The sequence below is a fragment of the Homo sapiens genome, chromosome 12 (genome assembly GCF_000001405.40).
Source record: "Homo sapiens chromosome 12, GRCh38.p14 Primary Assembly".
NCBI classification, from domain to species: domain Eukaryota; kingdom Metazoa; phylum Chordata; class Mammalia; order Primates; family Hominidae; genus Homo; species Homo sapiens.
In genome coordinates, this window is record NC_000012.12 from 104,161,971 (window position 1) to 104,178,030 (window position 16,060).

Consider the following 16,060-nt stretch of genomic DNA (forward strand, 5'->3'; position numbering starts at 1 on the left):
CCAAAGTGCTGGGATTACAGGTGTGAGCCAACCGCGCCCATCCCTACCTCTATTATTCTTAATACTAATAATTTGTTTTAGGCTGGGTGCAGTGCCTCGTGCCTACAATCTCAGCACTTTGGGAGGCCAAGGCAGGAGGATTGCTTGAGCCAGGGGTTCAAGACCAGTCTGGGCAACATGGCGAAATCCCGTCTCTACAAAAAATACAAAAATTAGCCAGGCATGGTGGTGCCCACCTGTGGTCCCAGCTAATTGGGAGGCTGAGGCAGGAGGACTGCTTGAGCCCAGGAGGCTGAGGTTGTAGTGAACTGAGATCATGCCACTGCACTCCTGCCTGGGTGACAGAGTGAGACCCTGTCTCGAAAAAAAAAATTATTTTATTACTTTTCTTCCTGATCATTCAGCTAGAGATGTATTAATGTTATGGCTTTTCTCAAGGAATCAGCTTTTGATTGTATTAATGTTTATTGTTTTCCTGTTTTCCATTTTACCGATTTTGGCTTTGATCTTTATGGATCCTTCTACTTACTCAAGGTTTAATTTGCTTCTACTTACTCAAGGTTTAATTTGCTTTTCTTTTTCTAGTTTCTTAATATGAAAACTGAGTCATTGATTTCACACCTTTCTTCTTTTATAATGTAAATATTTATTATTCCAAAATTCCTTCTAAATTCTGCTGCACTATACAAACTTTGATATGTTGCATTTTCATTTTTATTTAGTTTGAAATACTTTCCTATTTCCATTTTGATTTATTCTTTGATCCAAGGGTAAGGGTGCTTTATTTAGTTTCCAAATATTGATATTGATTGCTAATTTAATTTCATGTGTTCAGAAAATGCACTTTGTAGGAAGTGAATTCTTTTAAATTTGTTGAGACTTGTTTTATGGCCCAGAATATGCTCTATCTTGGTAAATGTTCTGTGTGCACTTGAAAAGAATTTGCATTCTGCTCTTGTTGGGTGGAATGTTGTATAAATGGCAATTAGGCCAAGTTGATTGATAATGCTATGTCAGTAAACAAAATTAAAGGAACTGTATTAGTCCATTTTTACACTGTTGATAAAGCCATACCCGAGTCTGGGTAATTTATAAAGAAAAAGAGGTTTAATGGATTCACAGTCCCACATGGCTGGGGAGGCCTTACAATTATGGCAGAAGGTGAAAGGCATGTCTTACATCATGGCAGGCAAGAGAGAATGACAGCCAAGTGAAAGGGGAAACCCCTTATAAAACCATCAGATCTCGTGAGACTTGTTCACTGCCACAAGAACAGCATGGGGAAAACCGCCCCTATGATTCAATTATCTCTCACTGGCTCCTTCCTACAACACATGGGAATTATGGGAGCTACAATTCAAGATGAGATTTGGGTGGGGACACAGCCAACCACATCAGGAATCTCTAAAAAAGTATTGAATATGGAGAATGCCAAAAAGCCTGATGAAGGATACAATTTTTGTATGTTAGAATTATTTCGTATTTCAAGTTAAACTGTTTTCCCCAGCCATATTTGTTCCTACTCTTTTTTTTTACCTTCAGCCTGTTGTTGACATAAAGAAATAAACTGAGGCAAAAACAGGTAAATATTTATATGGGCCAAGGTTGAGGACTGCAGCCTGGGAAACACTTCCAAATTACCTTGGGAAGTGCTCTGGAGAATAAAAAAGTGGCTCGAGGTTTTAAAGAAAAAAGGATGAATCAGGAGAGGGGGCAATTACAAAAGTTATTTGTCAGGAATTCTCATTGGTTTAGAGAAATAACATTGGTTAGTGATTGGCTGTATATTACTGGACTATATATAGGGTATGAGTTATGGTGTCCAGCCTGTGGCATCGTTAGGTTAATTTATAGCCATTTATGGTGACACTCAGTCTAGAGTCTATACATAACAGGAGGATTCAAGAGATGATTACTCAGTTACTCAGCTGGAGGTGGGGAAATGGGACTTGACTGCTGCCTCACTCCTATGCCTCTCTGGGCCTGATCACCTTCCTCAGATAAAAAGTTTTCTTTTTGGCTGGGCGCAGTGGCTCATGCGTGTAATCCCAGCATTTTGGGAGGCTGAGGCGGGTGGATCACCTGAGGTCAGGGGTTCGAGACCAGCCTGACCAACATGGAGAAACCCTATCTCTACTAATAATGCAATATTAGCTGGGCATGGTGGCAAATGCCTGTAATCCCAGCTACTTGGAAGGCTGAGGCAGGAGAATTACTTGAACCTGGGAGGCGGAGGTTGCCATGAGCCTAGATCGCACCATTGCCCTCCAGCCTGGGCAGTAAGAGCAAAACTCCATCTAAAAAAAAAAAAAAAAAGTTTTATTTTCTTTCTCACTAGCATGATTTCCTGCTGGATGTGAGGAAGCACAGAAGAGCCTACTCCCAGCTAAGGTTGTGGGCTTGCTTTTCAGGTCTAGGTCTCTGTCATGTTTTCCCAAAGGCCCCCAATCATTTGGCTAGCTTTCCTCTTTTCTTCTGAGCTGACTAGGGGTAACAGAATCACAAAAGTGAGAACATTGTAAGGGTTTCAGAAATCTTATCAAAGTCTAATCATAAATTACAAATTCCCTTTCGGTTCTGCTTACCCAACATTGATGTTGCAGGAGGCTCGAAGTATAGAGAGAAGTAAGATATAGCCCTTGCTATAAAGAAAGGATCATCAAATTTCTTCTGTAAAGGGCCAGATAGTAAATGTTTTAGGCTCTGGGATATAAAGCCTATTTCTTGCGATATAATAAGAAACATATATTTGGTCTTTGCCCCTAGTTCCTGGCACATAGCTCTTGGAACCTTGGAACCTCTGAAAGGATAAATGTCTATTTATATGCTAATGAGATGACTGAAGGCTAGGGCTTCCTAAGCAGTCTCAGGACCAAGGCTGGTTGCCAGGGGAAGCAATCATGTAAGTAGAGGTTGGAACTTTTAGTCCCACCCCACCAACCTCTAGGGAGAAGAAAGAAGCCAAATGTTGAGTTGATCATCAGTGGCCAATGATTTAATCAATTGTACCTATGTAATGAAGCCTCCATAAAAACACCAAAGGACTGGGTTTGAAAATATTTTTTTTTTAGACAGGGTCTCACTGTCACCCAGGCTGGATTGCAGTGATACAATCACGTCTCACTACAGCCTCTACCTCCTGGGCTCAAGTGATTCTCCCACCTCAGCCTCCTGAGTAGCTGGGACTACAGGTGCCCGCCACCAGGCCCGGCTAATTTTGTATGTTTTGTAGAGACAGGGTTTTGCCATGTTGCCCGGACTGGTCTCAAACTCCTGGGCTCAAGTGATCCGCCCGCCTCAGCCTCCCAAAGTGCTGGAATTACAAGGGTGAGCCACCGTACCTGGCCTGAAGAGCTTCTTGATAGCCAAACACATGGAGGTACCTGGATGGTAGAGCACCCAGAGAGGGCATGGAAGCTCCGTGCCCTTTCTCATAAGCCTTCTGATGCATCTCTTCCATCCATCTGTTCATTATATCTTTTATAAGAAATGGATAAACATAAGTAAAGTGTTTCCCTGAGTTCTATGAGCTGTCCTAGCAATTTAGTTGAACCCAAGGAGGAGGTCATGGTAACTCCAGTTTATAGTGTTGCCAAACTGAGCTGGGGCCTGCTTGCCTGGCACAGTAAGGCCAAACATCCATGCTGAGATTTTGCAGTGAGAGAAAGGAGGGCATTTATTTGCAGTGTGCCATGCAAGGAGAATCTGGCAGTTCATGCTCAAGATCTGACCTCTGCAAGCCAAGGGTTTTTAAAGGTACAGGTAAATTTCAGGAAAGCAGAAGTTACAGGCAAAATTGTAAACCAATACTTGGAGGTTAAACATCAGTTTGGCCTAAAAAGGCAGGATATCCTCAACCAAGGGCTTACAGGTCATGGGTCAATTAAAAGATTTTCTGATTTGCAATTGGTTAGGGAAGGAAAGCTTCATCTAAAGACTTGGGGTCATCAGAAAACAATGTTAGGTCTGGCCCATGGGCGTGACTTCCTCCTGGCCCCTGAGGAAGAAATTTAGAACAAAGAATGGCAGCCAGAGTTCAGTCCTCAGTGTTCTCCCCTTATCTGAGGTCCGTGTGCCAGTGGATCCATTTGGCAGGGGTCTGGATTTCTAAAGAACAACTCAGGGCTATTTGTTAACATGTTATCTTTAGTTTCTATAGAGAACCAAACATCTCATGACTCTAACTTCCTTGGCTATTGTTTTAAGCTACTATTACCTTTTTGCTTATTAAGTTGCTCATTTACTTCTCAGGGCTAGCTAGGTTCCCAGGATTTCCCTTAAATGAACTCAAGATTTGCCTTTATTTCCATGCTTGAGGGTGCCTAGCAGGGACCTCTGTTCCTTCTCAATAGCTGATTGGCTGGAAGCACTAATCACAACCTTGGGCTTGCAACTGGCATCTAAAGCAGTCTTATGGGACTGGGTCCTCAACCCATGGGATCTGATGCTATCTCTAGATAGTGTCAGAATCGAATGGAATTATAGGATGCAAAGCTGGTGCCTGACGAGAATTCCTTGGTGTATGGAGAAAAACCCACACACATCTGGTGTCAGAAGTGAAGTATTAAGTGGTGTGAGTAGAGAGAAAAACCACTGAGTAGACAAAGTGGTTTAGGCTGCTGGGAGAGGACTGCTTGTCTGTCGGCCAGGACATTTCTCAGCTGGACTAGTGAGATGATTACTTTATTCTCTTAAACCTCCAAGGCTCAGATGATGCCGTGCATGACTCCAGGGAGCACCATTCACTTAGACTATAGTGAATAGCACCCCCTGCAGCTGTGCAACATGGTGGCTCAGGCCAGTTTATACACCTGTCATATTCTCTCTCTCCACTTTATCCCCACCACCACCCCGTACGACCACCACCATGCTCAGAAAACCCTTGCCTAGCACGCTCCTGGACTATTCATGTCAAAACAACTGTGGGAAATGATGCAAATAGCAACATTAATATCCACAAGCTAAAATACAGCATGGCTTCATTTTCTTCTTGTTTCCTTTCTCCGTGATATCAAGTTGTGTTTCTGCCTGTGAGAAAGACACTCACCCATCCAGTCCCAAAGAATGGACTTACAGGCACGAAGAACAGCAAAAGTGAGACTTTTTTTTTTTTTTTTTTTTGAGATGGAGTTTCACTCTTGTCACCCAGGCTGGAGTGAGTGCAGTGGCACAATCTTGGCTCACTGCAACCTCTGCCTCCCGGTTCAAGCAATTCTCCTGCCTCACCCACCCGAGTAGCTGTGATTACAGGCACCTGTCACCACGCCCAGCTAATTTTTGTATTTTTAGTAGAGATGGGGTTTCACCATGTTGGCCAGGCTGGTCTCGAGCTCCTGACCTCAGGTGATCCACCTGCCTCAGCCTCCCAAAGTGCTGGGATTACAGGCGTGAGCCACCATGCCCGGCCTCCAGTGGTATTTCTGGATCCAGCTTCTGTGTGGTGACCAACTGGGTGTGACAATAGCTCAGTTAGTGAGCAATAGAAAATAATGGAAAGACTCACACACAGTCAGCCCACAAATTCCTGCAACACCAGAGGCAGACAGGTTATAGGATACTGGGTTCCCTTATGTTCCTAAGTCATCTTATTGTGTGTCTTATTTTCCACTTGAGGCTGTTCTTTGTGGTAATTTTAATATGACTTATCTTGCCTTAAACATTTAGAGTTGGAAGGAAGGGACAGAATGTATTTTGCCCTGGGCCCTCACCTGCTGGGGAGGACTACTAGCCACAAACCCTCCCTAAAGATAACTGTGAGCACAGGGTAAGCATGCATTCCAAGCGTGACTTAATGAGAACTCTGTAATGTACCAAGAAATAAAAAGATAAGCATAGACTGACACAAAGATCAAAAGGGCAGATGAACTGTCAACTTCCAAATCAGTTTTTCCTCCAAAACATATGTTTAAAAATCTTTACTGGTAACAAGCCTGAAGGATTTTGATTTTGTGATCTCATATGTAAGCTTATCACCAACTCTGAAGGCTTAGGTCTGCTGGCATGGGTTCCATCCTTCCTTAGTGAATAAAGTACCACTTGTTGAATTGCCTCTATTGGTTCCTGGAGTGCCTCTGAGTTCTTGGAGGTCTCTGGAATTCAAGAGTCTGTTCAGTCCAATACAGCTTAGGGCAGGGGACCCCAACCACTGGGCCATGGACCAGTACTGGTTCACAGCCTGTTAGGAACCGAGAAGCACAGCAGGAGCCGAGCAGCACAGCAGGAGGTGTACAGCAGGCAAGTGAGCAAAGCTCACCTGTATTTACAACTGCTCCCTAATGCACACATTACCACCTGAGCTCTGCCTCCTGTCGGATCAGCAGTGGCATTAGATTCTCATAGGAATATGAACTTTATTGTGAACTGTGCATGTGAGGGATCTGGGCTGCATCTAAGTTGCATGCTCCTTAGGAGAATCTAATGACTGATGAAACCATCCCCCCATCCTGCTCCCATCTGTGGAAGAATTATCTTCCACAGAACCGATCACTGGTGCAAAAAGGCTGGGAACCTCTAGTTTAGGGAATTAAAAAATGGCCCAAGACAAGTAAGTTGTAGAGCCATGTGAGAAAACATTTTAAATGGTCCATTTTCAAGGCATGATAAATCTAAGTACATGGTGAAACCCCATCTCTACTAAAAACACAAAAATTAGTCAGGTGTGGTGGCTCACGCCTGTAGTCCCAGCTACTCAGGAGGCTGAGGCATGAGAATCACTCAAACCCAGAGGCAGAGGTTGCAATGAGCTGAGATCACGCCACTGCACTCCAGCCTGGGCAACAGATTGACGCTTGGTCTCAAAAAACAAACAAACAAACAAACAAAAACCAGAAATACCATTGGAGAGAATGTTTCCAAGTCCTCAGGACAGGCTGAACTGATAAAGTGGAGGTTGAGAAAAAAAATTTGAGGTGAGACTCGCCCTGCCCATCTCATGGAATTTCTGTAGGCCAGATCCTGTCGGTTCTGACCAAAGTGTGGCCAACCAAACTTGGAGCTGGGGGAAACTGGGAAAGCTGAGACATTCCCTAGGGCAAACAGATACCAGTTGCTCAAGGTAGAAGAACTAAGGGTCAAAATGGACCAGGGTCCACTCAAGAAGATGGGCTGTGGAGGTACTGAAGACAGCAGACAGAAACGATCAGTGGGGGTATGGTATTAGCGTTTTCCTGAGAAGCAGAACCAATAGGAGATAGAGAGAAATGAGGAGTTTTTTTTAATTTTTTAATTTTTATTTTTTATAAGTTTTATTTTGATCTTTTCCACTTCTATGTCACTACTGAAACATTTTAAATGCTTCCTATACCTTCTTGAACTTATGTATTAAAATCATTTTTTATTTTTATTTTTTCATATATTGGATTTATTTATTTATTATTTATTTATTTTATACTTTAAGTTCTAGGGTACATGTGCACAACGTGCAGGTTTGTTACATATGTATACATGTGCCATGTTGGTGTACTGCACCCATCAACTCGTCATTTACATTAGGTATATCTCCTAATGCTCTCCCTCCCCTCTTCCCCCGACCCCACAACAGGCCCTGGTACGTGATGTTCCCCACCCTGTGTCCAAGTGTTCGAAATGAGGAGATTTATTATGAAAATTGGCTCACACAATTATGGAGGCCTTCAAGAAGTCCCACAATATCGGCCGGGCGCGGTGGCTCACACCTGTAATCCCAGCACTTTGGGAGGCCAAGGCGGGCGGATCACCTGAGTTCAAGAGTTCCAGACCAGCCTGGCCAACATGGTGAAACCTTGTCTCTACTAAAAATACAAAAAAAAAAAAAAAAAAAAAAAATTAGCTGGGCGTGGTAGCATGCGCCTGTAGTCCCAGTTACTCAGGGAGGCTGAGCAATTCAAGGAGAATTGCTTGAACCCAGGAGGCAGAGGTTGCAGTGAGCCAAGATCGTACCACTGCACTCCAGCTTGGGTGACAGAGGAAGACTCTATCTCAAAAAAAAAAAAAAAAAAGAAGAAGAAAGAAGAAGTCCCACAATATGCCATCTGCAAGCTGGAGAAACAGCAAAGCTGATGATGTAATTCAGTCCCAGTATGAAGGCCTGAGAACCAGGAATTCTGATATCTGAGGGCAGGAGAAGATGGATATCCCAGCTGAAGAAGAGAGAGGGAGAAAGAAAGTGAGGGAGACAGAGAGAGAGAATTTGCCCTTCCTCCACTTTTCTTGTTCTATTTGGCCCTCAAAACATTGGATGATGCCACCCACACAGGGGAGAGTGGATCTGCTTTACTCAGTCTACTGAGTCAAATGCTAATCTCTTCCAGAAACACCCTCACAAACACACCCAGGAATAACGTTTACCAGCTACCTGGGCATCCCTTAGCCCAGTCAAGTTGACACCTAACATTAACCATCACAGACATGGAAAGTGGCAAACCCTGGAGATCTGCAGGATATGTCAGAATCCAAAACCTCAGCAAGGTTGGTAAAAGAGGGCAGAGGCAAAGAGAATCAGACTTAAGTATTGCCAGAGAGCTCATCAATTTTCTGCTTTAGATCTCAGGGCAGGAAAGGCCCAGGGCTTGTGAAATATTTGGAGCCTGTAAAAATATCTGGGACCTTGAAAAACAGTATTGCTCTAAAATACAGCTCAAGACCAGCCTGGGCAACATGGCAAAAACCACCATCTCTACAAAAAGTACAAAAATTAGCTGGGCGTGGTAGCTTGCACTTGTCCCAGCTACTCAGGAGGCTGAGGTGGAAGGATTGCTGGTCTGGGAGGCAGAGGTTGCAGTGAGCTGAGATCACACCACTGCCCTCTAGCCTGGGTGACAGAGCTGTCTCAAAAAAAAAAAAATTAATAAAATATAAAGAGAAAATTTCAAAATATAAGTTAATAAATGTGAAACAAGTGTGTATAAAGCACTTCATTCTTGTCAACTTCATTAATTGTTCAATATTGCATTCATAAAAATTTCCTTATATTGGGAAATAAATTGCAAATTAGCATACTGGTGAAGGGCATGAACTGTGAAGCCAAATTGCCTGTGTCCAAATTCTGGCTCCACTCTTTACTGTGTAACTTGCAGCAAGTTACTCAACATCTCTGAGCTTCAGTGTCCTCATTCTTTCTAATCCCATAAATAAATTATATCACTAACCTCATAGATTTTTTTATTTTTTTTGAGACAGAGTCTCGCTCTGTCACCCAGACTGGAGTGCAATGGCATGATCTCGGCTCACTGCAACCTCTGCCTGCTGGGTTCAAGTGATGCTCCTGTCTTAGCCTCCCAAGTAGCTGGGACTACAGGCGCCCACCACCACGCCAGCTAATTTCTGTATTTTTAGTAGTGACAGGGTTTCACCATATTGGTCAGGCTGGTCTCCCAACTCCTGACCTTAGGTGATCCACCCGCCTTGGCCTCCCAAAGTGCTGGGATTACAGGCATGAGCCACCACACCCAGCCACTAACCTCATAGATTTTTAAGAGGATTAAATGGGCAAAAGACTTGGAACAGTGCATGGCACATTCTCTGTACTAGACGTGTACTAATTGTTGTTATTATTTTCTCACTTGGAAAGATTCCAAAACATGAACTGATATGTAAGAAATCATAACCAAATTAAATGAGTTATTCAAACATAAGTAATTTTAAAAGCAAAATTATACTCTTTCCAAAGAATTTCTTATATTTTATCAATGAAAATTTCAAGCAAATACAGATGTAAAAATAAAGATGCAAAGAGAGGCTGGGCGCAGTGGCTCATGCCTGTAATCCCAGCAGTTACAGTTGATGTGTAATATAGCCGGTGCTATTTTAATGTTTGCTACAATAGGTAGGCAAGCTGAAAAAGCTCCGAAAAAGCCAAGCAAGCTGCTTTTATCTTCCGACCCAGACAAAATCCCTCTCCAAACTGGGCCAGTTTAAGGTCAATAAGTGATTGCAATCAGCTGGCTCAAGTGGGTGCTTCCTGGAATGGCGAAGCTAGGCAGTTTTGCCAGAAGTCGTTGCTGTGAGCATCAGGGTTCAGAGTTGAGTCTTCAACACCAGACCTCTGCGATGGGCTTCCGGATTCGAGGCCCCGTCCCTTTCTCAGAAGGTAAGGCTTGCGTCAGGTGAACCACATTGGTCGTTTGGCTCTAACAATAACGGCGCCTTAGAATGAACACTTCAGCCTCGTTTTGTCTCTTTACACTCATAATAACCCCTTGCAGAGTAAGGAAGGCGAGTGACTTCTAGTCCTGGAGACGGGGCCTGCAAGAGCCAGAGGTCAGTGCTCCTGGAGGGGAGCAGGGGGCGGGGACAGGGCAGGCGGAGGGCGGAGCTAGGGGGGAAGGGCGGGGCCTGTGGAAAGGGGGCGGGGCCCAAGGGCTGGAGGCTGGCCGGCTGGGGTGCGGCGGTGGACCTGCAGGTCTCCCCAGTCACCTGAGCCCAACCAGCGCAGCAGAGACTCTTTCTGCAGCAAAAAGATCCCTCCAACCAAGTCAACTTGTTCTTCCTTCCCTCACGGTCTCCATAACCCCAGCCAAGAAGGAGGCGACGCCATGGAGTGGAAGAGTAAGGAAGGCAGAAGGGAAGGGCCAGAGGAGGCCCAGTGGGTGGAATAGGCTGGAATACTCGGTCTTCTTCCACACGTACTCTTAGGCTGCTCCTCTGCAACCAGGCCTCTCTGGGAGATCTTGTCTTCTACAAAATGTGTGCCGTGCCTTGTTACTAAGTCTGATTAATTTGCTGTAATTGGGAATTAAATTAACTTAGGAAGCCTAGATGCATTAGGGGTAATTGGATCCCGGGATGGCAGCACTCAACCCCTCCCCGCAACAAGGCAAGGTGGGCGTGGTTATCATACAGAACAGCAGAGTCAAAGCTGCAATCAGAATAGCTTGACAGATGCAAACCTAGGGCGTTGGCTGATTGCTGATGGTGTTCCTACAAGTGAAATAGATGGGAAGCCTACTAAATTCTTCCTGGATCTGCATAAGCAGAAAACTTCTAGGTCAAGTGAACAAAAGCCTAAGCTGAATCATAAAAAGTAGAATCATGGTGCTCAACCAATTTTCAGACTTGAGCCTGTGTACAGACCTTGAACCCCTTGAATAAAGGAAAGGTCAGATCCCCTTGAGGAAGGACCTGGATACACCACTGGAAATACGTATACTGTTAATCTTTCTCCCAGTCTAGGGGAGGGACCTACAGCCTTTTACCAGTATAACTGTACACTGGGGAAGAGATAACTCTACAATTCCTTTCGGGACTTCTTGACATTTGCTCTAAACTGATGTTGGTTTCAGGAGACCTAAAACATCACTGTGGTCCACCAGAGTAGGGGCTTATGGAGGTCAGGTGCTCAATGAAGTTTTAACTCACAGTGGGCCCAGTGGGTCTCCAAAACCACCTGCAGTTATTTCCCCAGTTTAAGAATACATAATTGGGGCCGGGCACAGTGGCTCATGCCTGTTATTCCAGCACTTTGGGAGGCCGAGGCGGGTGGATCACCTGAGGTCAGGAGTTCGAGACCAGCCTTGCCAACGTGGCGAAACCCTGTCTCTACTAAAAAATACAAAAATTAGCTGGGTGCAGTGGCAGGCACCTGTAATCCCAGCTACTCAGGAGGCTGAGGCAGGAGAATCGCTTGAACCCGGGAGGTGGAGGTTGCAGTGAGCCAAGATTGCACCATTGCACTCAAGCCTGGGAGACAGAGCAACACTCTGTGGCAAAAATAAATAAATAAATAAATAAGAATACATAATTGGAATAGACATACTAAGCAGCAGCTGGCAGAGTCCTCACATTGCTTTCCTGAACTGTGGAGAGGGCTACTAGGTGGGAAAGGCCAAGTGGAAGCCATTAGAACTGCCTCTGACTAGGAAAATTGTAAACCAAAAGCAAAAACAATTCCTGGAGAGATTGCAGATATTAGTGTCACCATCAAGGACTTGAAAGATGCAGAAGTGGTGATTCCCACCACACTCCCATTAAACTCCTGTTTGATCTGCACAAAAGACAGATAGGTCTTGGAGAATGACAGTGGATGACTGTAAGCCAAATTATGTACAATTTTTTTGATTTACTTGCTTTTGATGTTTATTTAAAAGTATATTGCCCCAGGCTGGGAGGGGTGACTCATGCCTGTAATCCCAGCACTTTGGGAGGCCAAGGTGGGCAGATCACGAGGTCAAGAGATCGAGACCATCCTGGCTAACGCCGTGAAACCCCATCTCTACTAAAAATACAAAAAAATTAGTCAGAAGTGGTGGCACGTGCCTGTAGTCCCAGCTACTAGGGAGGCTGAGGCAGGAGTATCGCTTGAACCCGGGAGGTGGAGGTTGCCGTGAGCCGAGATCACACCACTGCACTCCAGCCTGGGCAACAAAGTGAGACTCTGTCTCAAAAAAAAAAAAAAAAAAAAAAAAAATATATATATATATATATATATATTGTCCCAGCATTAAGGGAGGCCCCATTTTAGGGATGGAGAAAGGAAGAACATAGTAATTTTCCCTTGAGGGAAGCCTTTTTCAGTGGTTCTCTCCTCATGTCTCTTAAGGTAGACAAAGGGCACAACATAAGTGGTCACTGATATGTACCAACTGTTCTATACCAAAAATAATAATAATAAAATAAATGATCATTGATAGAGGCACAAAGATTAGGGCACATCCCTCTATAGAATGCTATGTGGCCATGAAAAAGACTGAGGTAGATCTATATGTACTGATATGGAAAAATGTATTAATACATAATATATTGATGACTACAAAGTAAATGAAGTTGCAAAGTATGAATGTTTGTAAATGTGTTGGAAAATTTCATAGTAAATGTTATCAGAGGTTTCTTCTGGGAAGTGGGGTTGGAGAGTAACTATATCAGTGACAAAGCTTTCTGTTGCCAGTAAAACAAAACAAAACAAAACAAAAAAACCCACTCAGCCGGGGTTTAATATACAATAAGAAAGTGTCTTATCTTGCAAAATAAGAAGTCCATGGAAACAGGGACCCTGGGGTTGGTGAACACAGCAGCTCTTCTTTCCATCTTTCTGCTTTCCATGTACTTCTACGCAAAGTTCAGCAATGCTGTTGTGGAGTCCTCTAGCCAAAGTCACCTGTCAAAGGAGTCCCATATCTGCTCAGTAATGAGGCTTTGTTCTCAGGTGGCTCCTGTTGTGAGGGGTAGGTGCAGAGGTTTCAGGAGTCACCTCCAAACCTAACAGCATTCATAGCAGAGAAAGCATTGTGCTAATCTAGGTCCTATGAAAAGCAGACACCAAAACAGGATTAAATGTGCTAGAAATTTATTAGGGGAAATGCCTTTAAGAGAAATTGAGGAGGGAGGTGATGGAGGCTGGGAGAGCCATCAGAGATTGATGAAGGTCTGAACACAAGAGGAGAGGAGGAAGTTAGGGTGGAAGGTTGGAGGAAAGTGTCTTAGCCATGTACTTCTAAGGAAAATTCAGCAATGCTGTTGCTGAGTTCTCTAGCCAAAGTCACCTGTCAGAGGAGTCCCACATCTCTCAGAAACAAGCTGTCTTAATATCCCTGACACACTCTGTCACTGGCTGGAAGCAGCCGCTGAGAATTGTGGCCTCAGATGTTCAGACACTACAGCAGCCATCCATCAGCAGTGCTCCCAGCAGCTGGAGATCTGAGAGGACATTCTCATGGCGTTCATGGGCATTCTTTTTTTTTTTTTTTTTTTGAGAAGGAATCTTGCTCTGTCGCCGGGGCTGGGGGAGTGCAGTGGCGCGATCTCAGCTCACTGCAACCTCTGCCTCCCAGGTTCAAGCAATTCTCTGCCCCAGCCTCCCAAGTAGCTGGGATTACAGGGACACGCCACCACGCCCAGCTAATTTTTTTGTATTTTTAGTAGAGATGGGGTTTCGCCATATTGGCCAGGCTGGTCTTGAATTCCTCACCTCGTGATCCACCTGCCTCGGCCTCCCAAAGGGCTGGGATTACAGGCGTGAGTCCCTGCGCCCGGCCATTGCATTCTTGTTTTTTAAGAACAATTGCCCTAGCTAACGCCCCCTATTTGTCACATATCCTGATTTAAACCAATTACTAGCAAGGGGAAGTGAGACCAATCAGGACCACAGGACCACACTTTCAGTCTCAGCTAGTGCCCACCTCCCCAGAAGCATGTGGCTGTTGTGGCTGTTGAGGGGAAGGTGGGAAACTGCAAAAAACCTGGGTTCTGTTAGGAATACGGAAGTGGTGGATGAATGTCAGGTAAGTAAGCAACAGGGCCTACTACAGTGATGGAGGGACCTTTTGAACCTGTATGTTTCTGTATAATTTGGATTTTTTATTTTTTATTTTTATTTTTTAGACAGAGTCTTGCTCTGTCGCCCAGGCTGGAGTGCAATGGCACAATCTCGGCTCACTGCAACCCCCGCCACCCTGGTTCAAGTGATTCTCCCACCTCAGCCTCCTGAGTAGCTGGGATTACAGGCACGCGCCACCAAGACCAGCTAATTTTTGTATTTTCAGTAGAGTCGGGGTTTCACCATGTTGGTCAGACTGGTCTTGAACTCCTGACCTCAGGTGATCCACCCGCCTCGGTCTCCCAAAGTGCTAGGATTACAGGCATGAGCCACCGTGCCTGGCCATAATTTGGATTTTTATGAGCATATATTATTTGTATAATAGTAGTTTTTCCAGTTAGGGATGTCAAAAGAGTGGAACTTGGCAGAACAGTATTCAATTCCATCACTAAGATTTATAATCTGTAGTCGTGGGCCCATAACATAACATCTTCAAGTCTTTATTATTAAGAAATTTAAAGTGATTCTCAGGCTGGAAAAAGGAAAACACAAAAAACATTAAAGAGATGTGGGTTTCTCTTGCGTCCTGGGAAAAAATTATTTTCTATCTATAAAAAGTCTGAAATGTGTTAGATTACACAACTTTAGGTTTATTGTGTTCATATTTTGAAGAAATGGAAAAAAATGGTTTTTTCTGTTCCTTTTCTGTAAGCACATTACAGAAAGTCACAATAATTTATTTTTAACAGGTTGAGCAAATTGTTCTTTTAGTTTCTTTCAACTCTGTTGGTTGAAATGATAGAACAACATATTTCCCAGCAAGTTATGAGGGTGGATTATGAGATTATGCAGTTATTTTGAAAATGATCAGTTTAGTTCTCCTTATTCATACAATTATATGTAATCTTGGGTCTTAACTACTTAAATATGAATCAAAGCCCAATATCTTAATGTCACTTTAAAAGCTGAAAAAAGATTCTTGGTAACAAAACTGTAAACTTGGGGAACTATCATTAATTAGTGGATTTAAGTTTGGGTGTTTTCCAAGAGATACAGGTAGTTGCAGAATGAGGTGGTCTTCAGTGTCAAGTAACATATAGTTGACTGGCAAGTGCCCTCAGTGCCCTCCCCAGGTGAAAAGTGATGTGAAGTCCCCCTCAGAACCCAACCTTACCTTGACCACTCATTTTAGGAAGTTCCCTGCCCCCTATCCCATCACTTCTTTTCATTGCACCCAGAATCAATTGCCTTCATACACTTAATACAGTTCATTCATTTTACTTAGATATACATTTGTTTGTTGTCTGTCTCCTATACAGTATATAGAAAGCTGCATGGTGAAATGAATGGTGTCTGTTCCACTTCACAGTTTATACCCAGCATCTAACTCAGGACTTGGCACATCACAGGAGCCTAATAAATATCTGTTGAAAAGTGAACGAAATAAAAGCTACACTTACGCAACAAGACCTCCTGACATTGTTTTCCAGCAGCCAGCATCTTCTGTTCTGAGAATGTGGTGAACTTTCCTGTATCTTAATGGATGATTCATTCTGTGGCCAATTGGCCGGGGGAGGGCAGTAGCTCCTTGTTTCAAGCTCCTGCCTCCCTGTGCCTCTTCTGTTTATCATTTCTGCCCTGATCTGTTGGCAGTGGCCAAACCCCATGGACTCTCCCTGGGTTTTGCCTCCAGAATCCCACCCTCCTGTTACAGCCCTGGTGGCCTTCGAAGTTTCTTGCCAGGATTCCCACCCTGACCTCCTCACTGGGCTGCTTGCCAGCAGTCTTGCCCAATTCCACCCCCATGTTCCCCTCAACTGCCAGAGATAGTAT

At 44.1% G+C, this 16,060-nt stretch overlaps 1 long non-coding RNA gene across 1 annotated transcript, besides 2 other annotated features; it reads left to right on the plus strand.

Moving 5' to 3' along the window:
- Positions 1,907–2,076: an enhancer, noted in NCBI's record as "experimental_23756 CRE fragment used in MPRA reporter constructs". NCBI's record gives its function as "activates a minimal promoter by MPRAs in K562 erythroleukemia cells, with activity observed for both the introgressed and non-introgressed 12:104557740 variant alleles {active_cell/tissue: K562}" and the evidence as "EXISTENCE:reporter gene assay evidence [ECO:0000049][PMID:34662402]".
- On the plus strand, positions 8,002–15,691 carry LINC02385 (long intergenic non-protein coding RNA 2385). The gene is made up of 3 exons (XR_945288.4): positions 8,002–8,445; positions 9,803–10,066; positions 15,547–15,691. It is a non-coding gene; the product is annotated as a long intergenic non-protein coding RNA 2385 (long non-coding RNA).
- Positions 14,656–14,825: an enhancer, noted in NCBI's record as "experimental_23757 CRE fragment used in MPRA reporter constructs". NCBI's record gives its function as "activates a minimal promoter by MPRAs in K562 erythroleukemia cells, with activity observed for the introgressed 12:104570489 variant allele {active_cell/tissue: K562}" and the evidence as "EXISTENCE:reporter gene assay evidence [ECO:0000049][PMID:34662402]".
- Positions 15,692–16,060: the final 369 nt, after the last annotated feature.